Here is a 16,103-nt window from a genome sequence, read left to right as displayed (position 1 = left end):
CTGCCATCTGCAGGCTGGAGACTTGAGACTGGCTAGTCCAAAGGCCTGAGAACCACGGCAGCTGGTGGTATAAATCCCAGCCCGAGGGTGGGAGAAGATGAGATGAGCTGTCCCAGCTCAGGCAGGCGGGCAGGAAAAGGGGGCAGACTCCCCCCTTTTGTTCTCCTGCCTTTTGTTCTCTTCAGGCCCCCAGCAGATTAGATGATGCCCACCCACATTGGGAAGGGCAGTCTACCTTGTAGAGTCCACCAATTCAAATGCTGATCTCATCCAGAAACACCCGCACAGGTACTTCCAGAGATAATGCTCAGTCTGCACACACCGGGGCCAGTTTGACACACGCAATTAACCACCACATCTTCTGAACTGCTCTAAATCTTCTCTTATTTTTTCAACGATCATGTCCTTTTCCAGGAAAATTAGCATCCTTTACCTATATCTCCTTCTTAAAACTTTAATTACCAATCCTGTAAAGATAGTAGTAAGATCAGAGTTTAAAAAGCCTTCCAGTTTTAGCACTTTGCTATCCACAAAGCTTTTTCACAACTGAAGCCTAATGAAAAGCAGTGGGAGACCCCATTTAATGGATCTACAATTAAATATGTTCTTCTTGATCCTTTGTATGATCCAAAGTATGAATACAATCTTTATTATGCTTTGATTTTTTTCTTTACTAAACTTTTAAAAATTGTGGTAAAATGCACATAACTTAAAATTTACCATCTTTACATGTACAGTTCAGAGGTATTAAATATTAAATATATTCACATTGTTGTGTAGCACATCTCCAGAACACTTTTCATCTTGTACAACTGAAACTCTGTATCCGTCAAACATCAACTCCCCATTTTCTCTTCCCTCAGCCCCTGGCAACCACCATTCTACTTTCTGTGTCTATGAATTTGACTACTTTAGGTTTCTAAGTATTTGTTTTTTCATGACTGGCTTACCTCACTTAGCATAATGTCCTGAAGGTTCATCTATATTGTACATGTTTCAAAATTTCCTTCCTTTTTAAGGTTGAATAATATTCTACTGTATGGATGGACTACATTTTGTTTATTCATTTTCCCATTGATCTACACTGGGGTTGCTGCCATCTTGGCTATTTTGAAGGATGCTGCTGTGGACATGATTGAGCATATCTCGTCAGGACCCTGCTTTCAATTCTTTTAGATACATACACAGAGGTGGAATTGCTGGATCATGTGGTAATTCTATTTTCAATTTTTTGAGGAGCTGCCATTCCGTTCTGCACAGTGGCTACACCATTTTACATTTTCATCAATAGTGCACAACAGTTCTGATTTCTCTACCTCCTTGCCAACTCTTGTTATTTTCTGTTTTTGATACTAGCCATCCTAATGGCTATGAGGTATAATCAATAAAAAGCTATACTTTTCTAATTGAAGTATAACATACATACAGAAAAATACACAAATCAAAACCTTGCTGAAATTTTACAAAATAAACACACCCATATCAGGTCAAGAAATAGAACAATGCCAGCACACCTGGAAGCATCCTTCATGTCCCTCCCCAGCTATTACTCACCAGTCACCACCATGGCCCACCAAGTTACCCACCATGCTGACCTCCATCACCATAGAGGAGTTTTGCTTGTCTGGAACTTTATATAAGTGGAAGCATGTTTTTCATCATTTGTGTCTTGTTTCTTTTGTTCAACATTATGTTTATGAAATGCTTATTGACTACAGCGTTCTCCAGAGAAATAGAACCAATAGGATGTATATGTATATAGGGAAAAGTTTGTTTTAAGAAATTGGCTCATACAATTATAGTGACTGGCAAGTCCAAAATCTCCAGGGTGGGTTGACAGGCTGGAGACCCAGGAATGAACTGATGTTACAGTTCAAGTGTAAAGGATTTCTGCTGCAGATTCCTTCTTTCTTGGGGTAGGCTAGTCTTTTTGTTCCGTTAAGGCCTTTAACTGATTGGATGAGCTCCCTGCCAATATACTTTACTCAGAGTTCACTAATCTAAATGTTAATCGCATCTCAAAACACCTGCACAGAAACATCCAGAATAATGTTTGTCCATATATCTGGTATCTGGGCACCATGGCCCAGCCAAGTTCACACATAAAATTAACCATTATACATGTCATAGTAGTTCACTTTTATTGTTGTTTCTATTCTGTGGTGTGAATATATCACATTTCCATTTGACTTTTCCAGTTGGGAGTATTATGATAATGCTGCAGTAACAATCTCCTACATGTATTTTAACATATATATATTCACTTTTCCTTGGTTATAGTACAGTATTCTTTTTTATGACTCTGGCTTTGTTTTACTATTATTTTCATTTTGTAATTTTATGTTTATGTTCATGAAAGATATAGGCTGATCACTTTTCTTTTTTATAATATTTTTCTCAGGTTTCAGGATCAAGGTTATGCTAAAAGCATAAAATAAGTAGAAAGGGCCCCTCCTTTTGTTTCCTGTATTGAAGAGTTGATGTAGGATTCATATTATTTCTTAAGTGTTTGGGAGATTTCACTGATAAAGATATCTGGGTGTAGAGTTTTCTTTTGAGAATGTTTTTAATTAAATATTCAGTTTTATAAATAGATATAGAACCAATTGATTTTCTCTTCTGTCATTTTTGTAAGTTGTATTTTTCTAGGAAGTAGTCCATTTTACTTAAAATCTTAAATATATTGGCATAATATTTATATAGGCTTTCTAATATCTGTAGGACCTGTAGTTATGTTTCCTTTTTCAATCCTGGTAGTGACAATTTGTGCTCTTTTCTTCATCAGTCCTGTCAGAGGTTTATTAAATGTATTAATATTTTGAAAAGTCAACATTTGACTTAATTTCTGTTTTTTTGTTTTCTGTTTCAGTGTTTTCCACTTTTTTTCTTCTACTTTTTTTTTTATTTTTTTAAACGGAGTTTCACTCTTGTTGCTCAGGCTGGAGTGCAATGGTGCGATCTCAACTCACTGCAACCTCTGTCTCCTGGGTTCAAGCAATTCTCCTGCCTCAGCCTCCCAAGTAGCTTGGAATACAGGAGCCTGCCACCATGCCTGGCTAATTTTTTGTATTTTTAGTAGAGACAGGGTTTCGCCATGTTGGCCAGGCTGGTCATGAACTCCTGATCTTAAGTGATCCACCCATCTCGGCCTCCCAAAGTGCTGGGGTTACAGGTGTGAGCCACTGCGCCTGTCCTTTTCTCCTTCTACTTTCTTTAATCTCTTGTTCTGTTTTCTTGCTTTTTAAGATCAATATGTAAATCATTAATTTTTAGTCTTCTTATCCCATATATTCACATAAGACTAGAAATTTACCTCTAAGTATGGCTTTTGCTGCATCTTACAAGTTTTGATATGTCATATCCTTATTATTTTCCAATTCAGGATATTTTCTGATTTCCAGTATAATTTCTTCATTGATCTGTAGATTGTTTAGAAATGTATCACTTTGTTCATAAACATTTGGGGTTTTTTTTTTAATGTTATTGATTCCTAGAGTAATTCCATTATGTGATCAGAAAACACTCTCAGTCCTTTGACATTTTTTCAGACTTGCTTTGTAGCTCAACAGTAAGTCGGTTTTGATAAGTGTTTCATGTGCACTTGAAAAAATATGCCTTCTTAACAACAACATATATAGATGCAGTCATGTAACAACAACGTATATAGACAGTTGGGTTAAGTTTGTTATTCGTATTGTTTATGTCATCTATGGCCTTACTGAATTTCGTCTATTCTTATCAGTGGCTGAGAGAAGTGTGTTAAAATTTCCCACCATGATTTGGATTTGCTGATTTCTCCTTTTTGTCCTGCTAGCTTTTCCTTCATATAGATTTGAGGCTATATTATTGGATATATACAGATTTAGGATTGTTGTATCAGCCTGGCAAATTGACCCTTTTTTATTATTAAATGTCCATCTTTTTTGCTAGTAATGCTTCTTGTCTTAAAGTCTATTTTGCATGATGTGCCAGCTCTTGTTTGGTTAGTATTTTTATAGCACATTTTTCCATCCTTCTATTTCCTGTCATCTTACTGTTTGTTTTCTGTTTGTTCTACTTGTTCTATATTCCTTTTCTTTCTTATCTTCCTTTGAATTATGTTTTTTTTTTTTTTTTTTTTTTGAGATGGAGTCTCGCTCTGTCACCCAGGCTGGAGTGCAGTGGCACAATCTCGGCTCACTGCAAGCTCCGCCTCCTGGGTTCACACCATTCTCCTGCCTCAGCCTCCCGAGTAGCTGGGACTACAGGTGCCCGCCACCATGCCCGGCTAATTTTTTGTGTTTTTAGTGGAGACGGGATTTCACCGTGTTAGCCAGGATGGTCTTGATCTCCTGACCTTGTGATCCGCCCACCTCGGCCTCCGAAAGTGCTGGGATTACAGGTGTGAGCCACTGCGCCTGGCCTGAATTATGTATTTTTAAAAATTGTTTCATTTTCCCCCTCTACTAACTTGCCTGTTAGACATTACTGTTCTTTTAGTGGTTATTCTAGATATTACAAAATGCATCCTTGACTTATTTTATTAAGGTCTAATATGAATTTAAAATTAAAGCTGATATCTTAGCATGTGCTGCTTCTGTAGCTAATGACATTAGCATTATTCTAAGAATGCTTATAAATGTGTTTCTTTTTTGTATAACAAAATGGCCCTTAAAGGCCTCTTAGAGCTGTTAATGTTATAAATAATCACCAAAGTAAGTGATTATTACCTTAAATACATTAAAAGAGTGAAGTTGAAATCTTAATCTTTAGAAATTATTCAACTTTTTTGAAATTCTGTTACTAATTCTCCTAAAAAAATTTTGTTTTAAACAAGAATGATTTATAAATTATTTTTCATAATAAACTACACTGTTTGTGGAAACTGAACATTGCCCTTGGAGCAGGCAGAAGTAATATCCATTAAATGCATAGCAAAACATGACCCTCAGATAATTTTTGTTTTCAGTTTCTAATGCCACAGATTTACATGAAGCGATTAAGGACGGGTGGTTAGTGTATATTTAATTTTGTTATTTGGATTCAGGATGCTCTTATGAATCCTCTGGTGAAAGTCAGAAAGCAGAATTATGGGTACAGGTTGATTTTCAAAAAGACTTTGTCACCAGGCAAGCAGGTACACGCTTCTGCAATGGTTTGAGGAAGGTATTATCTTTTCAGTTTTTACCTCCTTTGGACTGACGTCCTCTGTGTCCTTTGTAGTTTTCCCCCTGGCTGTCCCTAATTACACCATCTCATCTAGCAATTTGATGAAAACCTCAATAGGTGTTACTATCAACAGGATTATATTTCACAGTGGAATGTAATTTTCCACTGCAGTCAGTGATGGAAGAAGAGTGGTCAGTAAGAGAAAACCTTTTTTGCAAGAGGGATGTATTTGAGGATTTATTCACAAGAACGAACTATCATTATGAAGTTTTATTTTTGCAAGGTACAATTTTTTTTTTAACCATGGTGACATCTGTTTTCTTAGATGTGGTAGAAACATTCAAAAAGAGAAATACTCTGGTGTTGGAAGGCTTATTTTTCATCATCATTTTGCTTTGAAGTTGTTTGGTGAATGCATTCTGAATGAGACAGTTTGGCTATTTCTAGCACAATTGAGTTTCTGATTTCCCTTTGGATTCTTAATATCTTTTGAGGGCCAGGGAGGGATATTAATAGAGATTACTTGAAATAAGCTGTGAGATTTTTCTGCGTCTAGAATACAGGCAACAAATTGTTGCACGATGACAGCAGCAGGCTGTGATTGTTCCAGGCTGTCCTTGGCCAGTCCTATCTTCAGGAATCCAAGTAGGAGCAGGAACAACCATTCCCTTATTCCATTCAGGAGGAGGCTCAAAGAAAAGTTGTTCCAAGTTAATTGGGAGTAAACAGAAACTCATAGTTAGACTTTATGATTATAATCAATAACAAATATGTGTGTATGTGTGTGTAATAATAAATTGTGTGTGTGTGTATGTGTGTGTGTGTGATATAGGAGGGTGTAGTTTTTTCAGTGGTCAGCCTTCAGGTCTCTGCAGTGGCTGATATGGTCATGGGGTCTCTAACTTGTGGTTAACTTTGTCAACTCATAGCAATTCAAAGCAAAATTGAGGCTATCTCTATCAGTGTGCTAGGGCAGCTCTAACATAATACCACAGATTGGGGGCTTAAACGACAGACCTTTTTTCTCTCACAGTTCTGGAGGCTGGAAGTCCGAGATCATGGTGCCGGCAGCTTTGGCTCCTCCTGAGGCCTCTCTCCTTGGCTTGTAGACGGCTGCCTTCTCCCTGTGTCCTCACATGGTCTTCCCTCTGTGCACGCACATGCCTAGTGTCCCTTTATGTGTCCACATTCTCTCCTCTTACAAAGACACCGATCAGATTAGATTGGGGCCCCACCCTCATGACCTCATTTTAACTTAATTGCCTCTTTAAAGGCCCTATCTCCAGCTGAGGTGGGTGGATCACCTGAGGCCAGGCGTTTGAGACCAGCCTGACCAACATGGTGAAACCCTGTCTCTACTAAAAATACAAAATTAGCCAGGCATGGTGGCACCTAACTGTAATCCCAGCTACTTGGGAGGCTGAGGAAGGAGAATCGCTGAACCCAGGAGGCAGAGGTTGCAGTGAGCTGAGATTGCACCACTGCACTCTAGCCTGGGCGACAAGAGTGAAACTGTCTCAAAAAAAAAAAAAAAAAAAGGCCCTATCGCCAACTGTGTAGTCCAGTTCTACGGTACTGATGGTTAGGGCTTCAACACATAAACTTGTGGGGAGTGAAGGACATGAACATAGTTCAGTCCATAATGCTGTTAGAGCCAGCTGAGCTCTCTCAGTTATATTCAGAGTGTCTGCAGGAATTTATTAGCCAACACTGTTGTTCCTAAAACAACCAGCAAGAGGCTCTCTCTCTCTCTCTGACACTCTTTAGAATGGCATCAGCCTCCATCTCCACACCGCACAGCCAACCCAGCAGCCAGTCCTGGGTGCCTCTTCAGATGATGTTCTGGGCTCCTCTGCTTTTTACCCTCCCTCTCTCACCCCTGTCTAAACCAGTGTCCTCCCCTGCCTGTGTTATCGCGGAAGCCTCCCCATTCTTGCTTCCCTCTTGTCACTCTGGAGCTCTGCCTCTCAATGGAGCAGCCAGTGGTGTTTTGAAAACATGAATCAAACCTGGCCACTCTCTTGCTCTGAGTCCTCTGAGCACATTTAGCGCGGGCTCCAGATGCTTGCCTGGGCATGTGAGGACGTGGCCCGCTCTGCCCTCTCCAGATTCAGCTCCTCCTCGCGTCTCCAATACCACAGCTGGGCTACTCTGGCCTTGCTGCTACTGCTCCCATGTGCCAAGTGTGGTCCCTTCCTCAAAGCCTGGAATTCCCGGAAGGTTCTTCCCCCAGATACCCACATGGCTTACTCCCTCACTCCTCCCAGGTCGCTGCCCAGATGCTCCTTCCTCAGAAATGTCTTCCCGAGCCCCTAGCTAAGCGAGCGCACCATTCCCCCCACCCCAGACCATCTGTCCTCAAAGTGTCTTCATAGCACTGGTCACTCCCCAACATCAGGGTATATAATTGCCTGTTGTCTGTGTTTGCTAGAACGTCAGCTTCACGAAGGCTTTTGTCTCATTTACCACTAGGTGCCCAGTACCTTAGGAGCTTGGAAGTTCTTAGTACCTAAGAATAGCACTTGCTTCATGAATATGTATTAAATTGATAAATGACATTCTGTGGCTCAAGTGAGTCCGTGGTGTCAAAGGTTATGCTGGGCAGACTGCCTTTGGTAATGAGCATAGACCCCTCTTTAGGTCCAAAGCAACCCCCGGGAGAAACTTGCATCTTCCCCTACCTCGTGCCCAGAATACACCTTGCCTTGGATGATGAGTTGAGAAGCTACCCACAAGGGTAGATGACTCGTCTGGCTTGAAAGAGATCGGCCCTGTTGGCATTTTGATAGCAAATTTAGAGTTGGGAGGTCACTAACAAGGCTAGTCCCCAATTCTGCGACCTAAATGGAGAGGCAGTTGCTTTGCAAGAGTACTGTAGAGCCCGTGGGAGACACGCTTCTCAGCCTGCCTTTTGGTCCACATGTAGGCCAGCCACTTCCTGGGCTGCCTTTTTTTCAAAGATTTTTTTCATGAATAACGGTATTAAAACTTTCATGCAAAGTGCCCTGATAGTGTGTAATATTTTTAGGGCCTGTAGGCAATGGAGGCTTTACATTTTTAGTGATTTTTTTTCCTCATATACACTGGCATTGACCCTGGGAATGATGGCTGTTTTTCTTTTAGGCTTGCTTGACTGCCATAACCAGAGACGTGGAGCAGGGGATTTATTCTGTTTCCTCCTCCTCCTTCTTCTTCCTCTTATTCCTCATCTTTGATTTGAGGGGGCTTTTCAGGTATGAGGGCAGAGGGGCATGAATAATACTTCCTCAGACTGAAAGGGTCTTTGGGGGCAACAGCAATTCATTTTTCAGCTCTCTGAGATACTCATTTTGTTTTGTTTTTGAATACTCCTTAACTTGTAGTCTTCCTTTCTCTACCCAGTCTGAGAACTGCCTAAGCAGAGGCAGTTTGGACCCTACAAACAGCGTCTTGATTTGGCTGGGATGTTGGAATAGGGATTGGACCCTAGAAACAGCATCTTGATTTGGTTGGGACGTTGGAATAGGGATCTTTCCATTCTAAGACCTTAAAAAAAAAAGTTATTAGAGAAGTGAAAACATTTTAGTTATTTAGACTTTCCAGTCTAGAAGGCATTTTCAGTGGTTTTCCCTGTAGAGACTAAGGCATCTCTGAGACAACGGTGGGTCCATCTCCACAAGGACTTAGAACTCCCGACTCGTGACTTCTGGGTGGTTCTCCTAGTGCTTGTCTAAAGAACATTTTTGAGCTTTTGGCCTAAAACTCTCTTCTTCCTTCTCACCCCTCCTTTTCCATAGACCTCCCCTGTGTTGCCTGCCTGCCTGTGCTTTGCCTTGATTTACAGCATCCATGTGCATACGTAGGTGCACGAGACAGCCAGGTGCTAGAAAGTTTGCAAGGCCAGGAGGGATATCACAGGGTCCTGGATTTGGGTCCCTTCTTCGTGCAAGCACCAGCCAGACACTTGACCTCTCTAGGAAGGATTCCTTCATCTATAGAGTGGGGCGGAGATCATGGTGAGCCATGCACAAAGGTGAGGAACTGTAGAGAAAGCATCCGGGAGCCAAGTCAGCCCTTCACAGGTGTCTGTCTGTGCAGGCAGTCACCACACCCATCTCTCCACCCAGCTTCAGCTCCAAGGAGCCTGCCTGGCCTGCTTTTGCAAACACTGTCTCCAGCTGCTTCGGGTTGCAGCATCTCATTCCTGAAACCCGGAGGACGTGACTGGATAATAGCCGGGCAAGTGAGCTGTGGTGATATTTTAACACAGGCCTGATCTGATCATTCCTCACTCATTCAACCCTAGGCAAGCCTGGATTCATACTTTCCATGGCCACCCGTGCCAGCCAGTTTCCATATCAGCCAGGGCCTCAGGAAGGTGGAAGGACACACTGTCATTCTTTCCATTTGCGCTGACCCTGCCTACTATCAGGCCTGAATGCCAGCAGGTTTAGCTAAAGAAAGTTGCAACTGCTGACCAGGCTGTGCAGGCCGGCCTCTGTCTCTAGCATACCCGGGGGTAGATAAGATGGTTCCTGATGCTCTAAAGCTGGGCTTGACTTCCCAGGAAAGTAAATCAAACAGGGCCTCTTCCATTCTCACTGGGAATCCTTGGTTGGGCTCTTTTTTATTTTGAACCATTGAAATATTTGTGCAGACACGGTGGGTCTGAAAGTAATGCACTGTGACACTTTCCCCTCTGTTCTCTGACACCGGGTGTTAGTGGGAGAATCAGACGGATAGTAATTTCCCTGTGGATTCTCAGCAGCCCTAGGAGATAGGTTAGCAGTGGTTATTTCTATTTTACAGAGTGGAAAGGCAATTTTAAAGAAAAAAATATTCTTCTGCTCAAGGTCACAACTGCAAACCAGTGGCCTGGCTCATGGCTCTGGACCTGCCAACCTGTCGCTCTCCTCTTCTGAGGACTGGGTTGTGGCTGGTACTGTGTTTCAGTTTTAGAAAATGTAATTTGAAGGAAATGGGAGACTGGGGTCTATTTTGAGACTCTCGAATAATTCATTTTACTCTATTTTCTATAAAGCCTAAGAGTGATTCATTAGCAAGCATAAGTAATGTCTGAGTGATGCAACTGTACTAGGTTAGGTTTTGGGACCTGGTTGTTGAATTGGTCATGAACATTTGTCACATACATGCATTGAGTCATACATTGCTAGAGATGGAAGGCAGCTTAGTAATCATTTAGTCCAGTGGGTCCCAAATCTAGCTGTTTATCAGAATCACCTATAGAGCTTATTAAAAATTCAGATGCCCTGGTGCTACCCAAGGCCTGGGGTCAAAGATCTGGACCCTTTATCTTTAACATTGCATTTTTGGGGGGTGGGACTCTCGCTGTGTCACCCAGGCTGGAGTGCAGTGGCGCAATCTCAGCTCACTGCAGCCTCTGCCTACCAGGCCCAAGTGATCTTCTCACCCCAGCCTCCAGCCTCCCAAGTAGCTGGGACTACAGGCATGCACCACCGTACCTGGCTAATTTTTTGTATTTTTGGTAGAAACTAGGTTTTGCCATGTTGCCCAGGTTGGTCTCATACTCCTGAGCTCAAGTGATCTGCCCACCTCAGCCTCCCAAGGTGCTAGGATTACAGGCATGAGCCACCGCGCCCGGCCATAACATCGCATTTTTAACAACTCTTCCAAGCAGTTCCTAAACAACTGGCCTAAAAACCTTTGAGGGACCCCACATTTGAGAATCACTGGATGCAAGTCCTTTTTTTTGTTGGCTTGTTTTTGTTTGTCTGTTTGTTGTATGTGTTGTTATTCAGGTGAGGAACCAGGGGCCCAAAGGGTAGATGACCTTGCCTGGAGTCACACAAATCTGTCACTGTTGGAGTCGGGATGGGAAACCCAGCTACGCTCTTCCCAGGCATGGTGTGACCACAGCCCAACCGAGTGGCCAGGAGGACCCACTCTGTTGGGCGCTGTATTTAGAGCAACCGAGACCACTTCTGGTAACACTTGGTAACATGCCCTGCACTCTTGGAAAGGCACTCTTGTCAGGGCGGGTGTCTTAGAGAACCCACAAAGTTCAGGAGATTCTTCCAGAGCCCTTAGCAAAGGGCCATCTGCAAAGCCTCTCTTCCTCCCTGGGCAGGTCCATTCCCCCAGGGCCCAGAGTGGGGCCACCAAGACCAGAGCAGACACCAGGAATTGACCCTGGTCTGGAACTAGTCTGTCTGTTCTGATCTGCCGCCCTGTGACAATCACCTGCCTGGGAACCCTGCTCACAGATGACCAGGCCCAGTGGAGAGATGATAAGAATAGGTAGTTTGTTCTGATGCAGATTCCTAGGGGATCTGGCTGATGCTGGCTGATGGCTGCTTACAGCAGGAGACCTCAAGTTTCTCAATCTAATGTTCTTAGTTCTGCATCAAACAGATGGGTTTATTTTCTGGATCCTGTCTATTCACGGAACTCATTTAATATGGAGGGCGTTATGATGTCCTGCCTCATCTGCTACTCAAGCTATATATTTGCAGGTGAGGGGAGAAGAATCATAAGGTAAGCTCTCAGAGATACGAGGGTCAAGGAGAATATAAGATCTTACATTCCCTAACGCACCTCTTGCTCTTTTGTGTTTTTGCATGTGGCCTTCATGCTGGTTGTCCTCTGGACTGTGTGACCTTGGTGCCCTCAGTTTCCTCATCTTATTGGTCCCTGTACTTCTAATAGTCAGTGGGCTGACAGTCCACACCCCTCTGCAGGGCTCCAGACCTGGCTGTCTGACTTTCCAGCAGGCTGTCCCCTCGGTCATGCCGCAGACTTTTCACACTGTGTCCGAAGCTGAGCCTTGATCTGTTCCTGAACTTGCTGCCCCTCTTTTGTCCTCTCCCATCCACTCCACTGTTTGTGCTAGAAAGTGGGGAGATATTGTTGGCACCTTCCCTCTCACTCCTACATATTAGCCAAAGGTTTTATAGATTTCACACCTAAGCAGTGATGTTTCAGCCTGCTTCCACTCTCCCGTGCTCAGGATAACTGCCTTGGTTCAGTCACTTTCATGTAACACTCCTGCCTGGAGTACGCAGCAGCTCCTACCTGGTATTCTGATTCCTCTCCGGCACTCTTCAGTGGCCCTCTAGTGCTCCCTGAGTGATCTTTTGTTTGTTTGTTTGTTTGTTTTTGAGACAGGGTCTGGCTCTGTCACTCAGGCTGGAATGCAGTGGCATGATCACAGCTCACTGTAGCCTCTACCACCTGGACTCAAGTGATCCTCCCACCTCAGCCTCCCAAGTAGCTGGGACTACAGGCGCACACCACCATGCCTGACCAATTTTTGTATTTTTTTGTAGAGACAGGGTTTCACCATGTTGCCCAGGCTGATCTCAAACTCCTGGGCTCAAAGGATCCACCCACCTCCACCTCTCAAAGTGCTGGGATTATAGGCACGTGCCACCATGACTGGCCCAAGCGATTTTTCTAAAAACCTATGTATGTCATCATCTCACTATCCTGTTTCTAGATACTCTTCAGTACTTATCTGTTGTTCATAAGGTAATGTTCAAAATCCTTACTTTGTGAATAAGGCCTCTCATTTGGACCCTGTTGTGTCTCAGCTCTTGCTTCTCCCTCACTCAGCTCATTAGTGCAGTGGTGCTCAACTACCTGAGGTTCCCAGGACACAGGGCACCGTAGGATGGAAACTGCAGTTGCCTCCGCCTGGGATGCCCCAGACCTCTTCTCCATGGAGCTGACCCCTGCCGGCCTTCTGATGGCCTTTTCTCAGTAGAGGGTGACTCTGTTCCCAACTAATCTCTGATGTTCTGGAATGAAGAAACAATTTTAGTATTGCCAGCTCCTAGCACAGTCATTGCCATGTTATATGTGATCAATACATGTTTGATGAGTGAATGAATGAGTTAGCAGCTCCTTTAGAAACCAAGTCCTATAATTGAACCAAAGACAAAGTATTATCCATTAGCTATCTTTGGATTTTCTTCCACCTGCTTGTTTGTGTTATAATATTGATGTGATTAGCATAGATTTCTTGCTGAGCGGTGATTAGAGTCTCAGTAAACTCCATCCAGTTTAAACTTTGAAACATTCACAGACATTGACCAAAATGTTCAGACTTCTCCAGTGCTAGTACATTGTTTTCAACCTCCTGTGACTTATTTCTTCTAAAGACTACTTGCTGGCTGATTTGCGTTTTATTTTTAATATTCATCATTCTTCCTGTGTGCACACAAGACAATCAAAGACTGATTTAAAGTAAAGGGAAAAATACCATCAAGCCTGGAACGTGTCACAGCCACCCACCCCACACTTGGGTTTGTGTCCGAGTTGGACAGTGTCCCTGGGGCTCTTTTTCTCTTGTCCTGGGTTCCTCTGGAAGCTGTCCAGATCCCTGCCGTTGGAGGGGCCCCAACTCTTATTGCCAGAAAAGAACAGCTCGGGTAGAGGACACAGCCTCCAGAGAGGGGTGGTGCAGGTACGAACCTGCAGAGCTCTGTGACTTGTTTATTGCACTTATCTGACAAAGGTAATGCAAAACCCTGTGCTTTTATTGGGAAATAGAAGGAGGAACTTGTTGGACAATTATGGAATCAGAGAATGATGTCACTGGGTGGTTCCTTAGGGATCATCTAAGGTAAACTACATTGTTGAGCTGTTGGGTATGAATAAAAATTTTCCACAAGCTTTCCTGCATTTCTTCCCCTCCAGTCACCATATTATAGGGCACAGCAGTTTTGGAGAATTCCACAGGACCCTGGCTCACTCAGAGTTAAGGATCCCATGCAGTGTGATGGAAGGAACCCAGACTCTAGTGCTAGACAGACCTAAGTTGGGCCTGTCCAAATTCTTTGAGTTTATTTCCTCATTTGTAAAATAATGCCTACCTCAGGGCTGTCCTGAGGATTAAATGACACCTTTTGGGGTCACTAGTGGTCCCTTAACACACCGCTGTCTCGTCTCTTCTTCTGAGGTTCAGCTACAGGAGCTCATTTTGCACGTGTCGTTGCTGTTAATGGAACTGCGCTTAGGAAGTCCAGTCACCAATCTTCCTATGTTAAATGCCTTTTGAAAAACACTTTCACCTGGCACGGTGGCACACACCTGTAACCCCAGTTGCTTGGGAGGCTGAGGTGGGCAGATTGTTTGAGCCCGGGAGGTTGAGGCTGCAGTGAGCCATGATCGTAACACTGCACTCCAACCTGGGTGACAGAGTGAGAGCTTGTCTCTAAAAATATACATCTAAATGAAATAAAAAACACTTTAACTTTGCATAAGCTTCTTTCTCACCCCTAGTCATCAATTCTCCGGGCTGTAGGTTTGACCTCCTTTCAGTGGGCTCGCCTTGAGAATAAGACCGTCTCAGCCATAGTGCTTGGCATACGCTAGAAGCTCAGTAAGTAGGAGAGGCAAGAGGGAAGGAGGAAGAGAAGGAGGAAAGGAGGGAAGTGGGAAATGCTGCTACTAGCAAATGAGCATAGCCGCTCCAGATGGGGAGAAGGTGAACTGTGTTTGTGCTCCCATGGAGCCCTGTGATGCACACTGTGCAGGCTCGGATCCTGAAGAAAGGCCAGGTAGCTGTGCAGACAGAGGCTCCTGACCACATCCTCTGAGAAACCCCAGGACCAGATGTGGTAGAGAGTGACCCACGGGTGCTGTTCGCAAACATTTGATGTAGATGAACTAGTTTTAGCAGATGCCCTCACATTTTGCAGTTGTGAGTTTCCTCCCATTTCTTCTTGATTCCCATCTGCCCGTGCAGTTCTGCCTCCATCAGCCATGCGTTGACATTTAGGTGATTAACACTTGATGCCGTAACCATTGTCCATGTTTTATTCATAATTTGACGCTAAAACCTGAAAAGTTGTCAGTACGGTTTATGCTAATACAGCTATAAAAATGTTCTTCGATGCCAGCTAAGCAGCTGGTGAGGATTACGTTCCTTCTGAGTAGGTCTAGCTTCTGACGCGGGAGGCACCCGAGGAGAACGTGCTCAGCCGCGGAAGCAGACAGACACTCCGTGTTTACACTCAAACAACTGCTGAAAATCATTTCATGTCACGTTTTACTTCATATTTGGATCTGACTTTCTTGAATGGCATTTTTATTTTTCTTAGAGTTTGTATTATCTTTTTTTGACGCATTGTGTGCTTTATCAGATCCTCAAGTTCTTGTATCTTCTCAGTTATGACAAACATTCTATTATTCACGTTTCCTATTCTGGACTGGCTTTTCCCAGGACCTGAGGCTGATCTACCTTCTGGGGGCTCTTCTTCGCTCTGTCCCTAAGTTGGGTCTAGTGCATCCTAAATCTCATGTCTTTCTCCTTTATGGTTTATGCCATCATTTTGCTGGACTACATTTATATTTTCTCCCCTAGAAAAGAGAATGAAAAGTCAGTTGTCTGATTTCTTGAAAATATACGTAGTATCTCACCCTCACGCTTGATTGATAGCTTATCTGCAGGTAGACTTCTCCAGTGGACATTGTTTCTCAGAACTTCTAGGAAAGCTCATTGGCTTATAGTGTCCAATTTAGCTGATGCAAAGACTGATGTCAGTCCAACTTCCACTCCCTTGCAAATGACTGATTTTTTGTCTCTCTTGAAACATCCTTCTTTGTCTTGGATATTCTGAAATGCTTTGTGGATGTGTCTTCACATGGGTCTGTATTCATAGTAGGCTTCATTTGGTGAGTCCCTTCCATTGGAAAATTCATCTTCTTTAGAACCTGAGGATTTTTGTAGCGTTCCTTAAGCTCTGCCCTTTGATTTCTGTTCTTTCTGGGCCTCCTAGTAATGCTGGGCCTCCTAAATAGGAACTCTGTATGTCTTATATTTTCCTCCTTTATATGTTTTCATGACACGTATAATTTTGACGGTTTTCTAATTAGAAAAGCAATGTATATTGTAACAGCGACAACAAAAATTACAAGTAGGCATGATTATAAAATGAAGCAAGGCCTTGGAGGAGGCAGGAAGATGCAGAATTGAGGGAACAAAAGATGGC

The 16,103-nt window shown here is 43.2% G+C and overlaps 1 protein-coding gene across 3 annotated transcripts in view, besides 2 other annotated features; it reads left to right on the top strand.

The window, feature by feature from the left end:
* RCAN1 (regulator of calcineurin 1) overlaps positions 1-16,103 on the top strand; it is a 98,672-nt gene that overhangs the window by 25,249 nt on the left and 57,320 nt on the right. The window lies entirely within an intron of this gene.
* Positions 6,746-7,246: an enhancer, noted in NCBI's record as "H3K4me1 hESC enhancer chr21:35954917-35955417 (GRCh37/hg19 assembly coordinates)". NCBI's record gives its function as "activates a minimal SCP1, AML or CMV promoter by ChIP-STARR-seq in primed H9 embryonic stem cells {active_cell/tissue: H9 hESC(primed)}" and the evidence as "EXISTENCE:reporter gene assay evidence [ECO:0000049][PMID:30033119]".
* Positions 7,247-7,747: an enhancer, noted in NCBI's record as "H3K4me1 hESC enhancer chr21:35954416-35954916 (GRCh37/hg19 assembly coordinates)". NCBI's record gives its function as "activates a minimal SCP1, AML or CMV promoter by ChIP-STARR-seq in primed H9 embryonic stem cells {active_cell/tissue: H9 hESC(primed)}" and the evidence as "EXISTENCE:reporter gene assay evidence [ECO:0000049][PMID:30033119]".

Source organism: Homo sapiens, chromosome 21 (genome assembly GCF_000001405.40).
Source record: "Homo sapiens chromosome 21, GRCh38.p14 Primary Assembly".
Lineage (NCBI taxonomy): Eukaryota > Metazoa > Chordata > Mammalia > Primates > Hominidae > Homo > Homo sapiens.
This window is presented reverse-complemented; position numbering and strand designations above follow the sequence as displayed.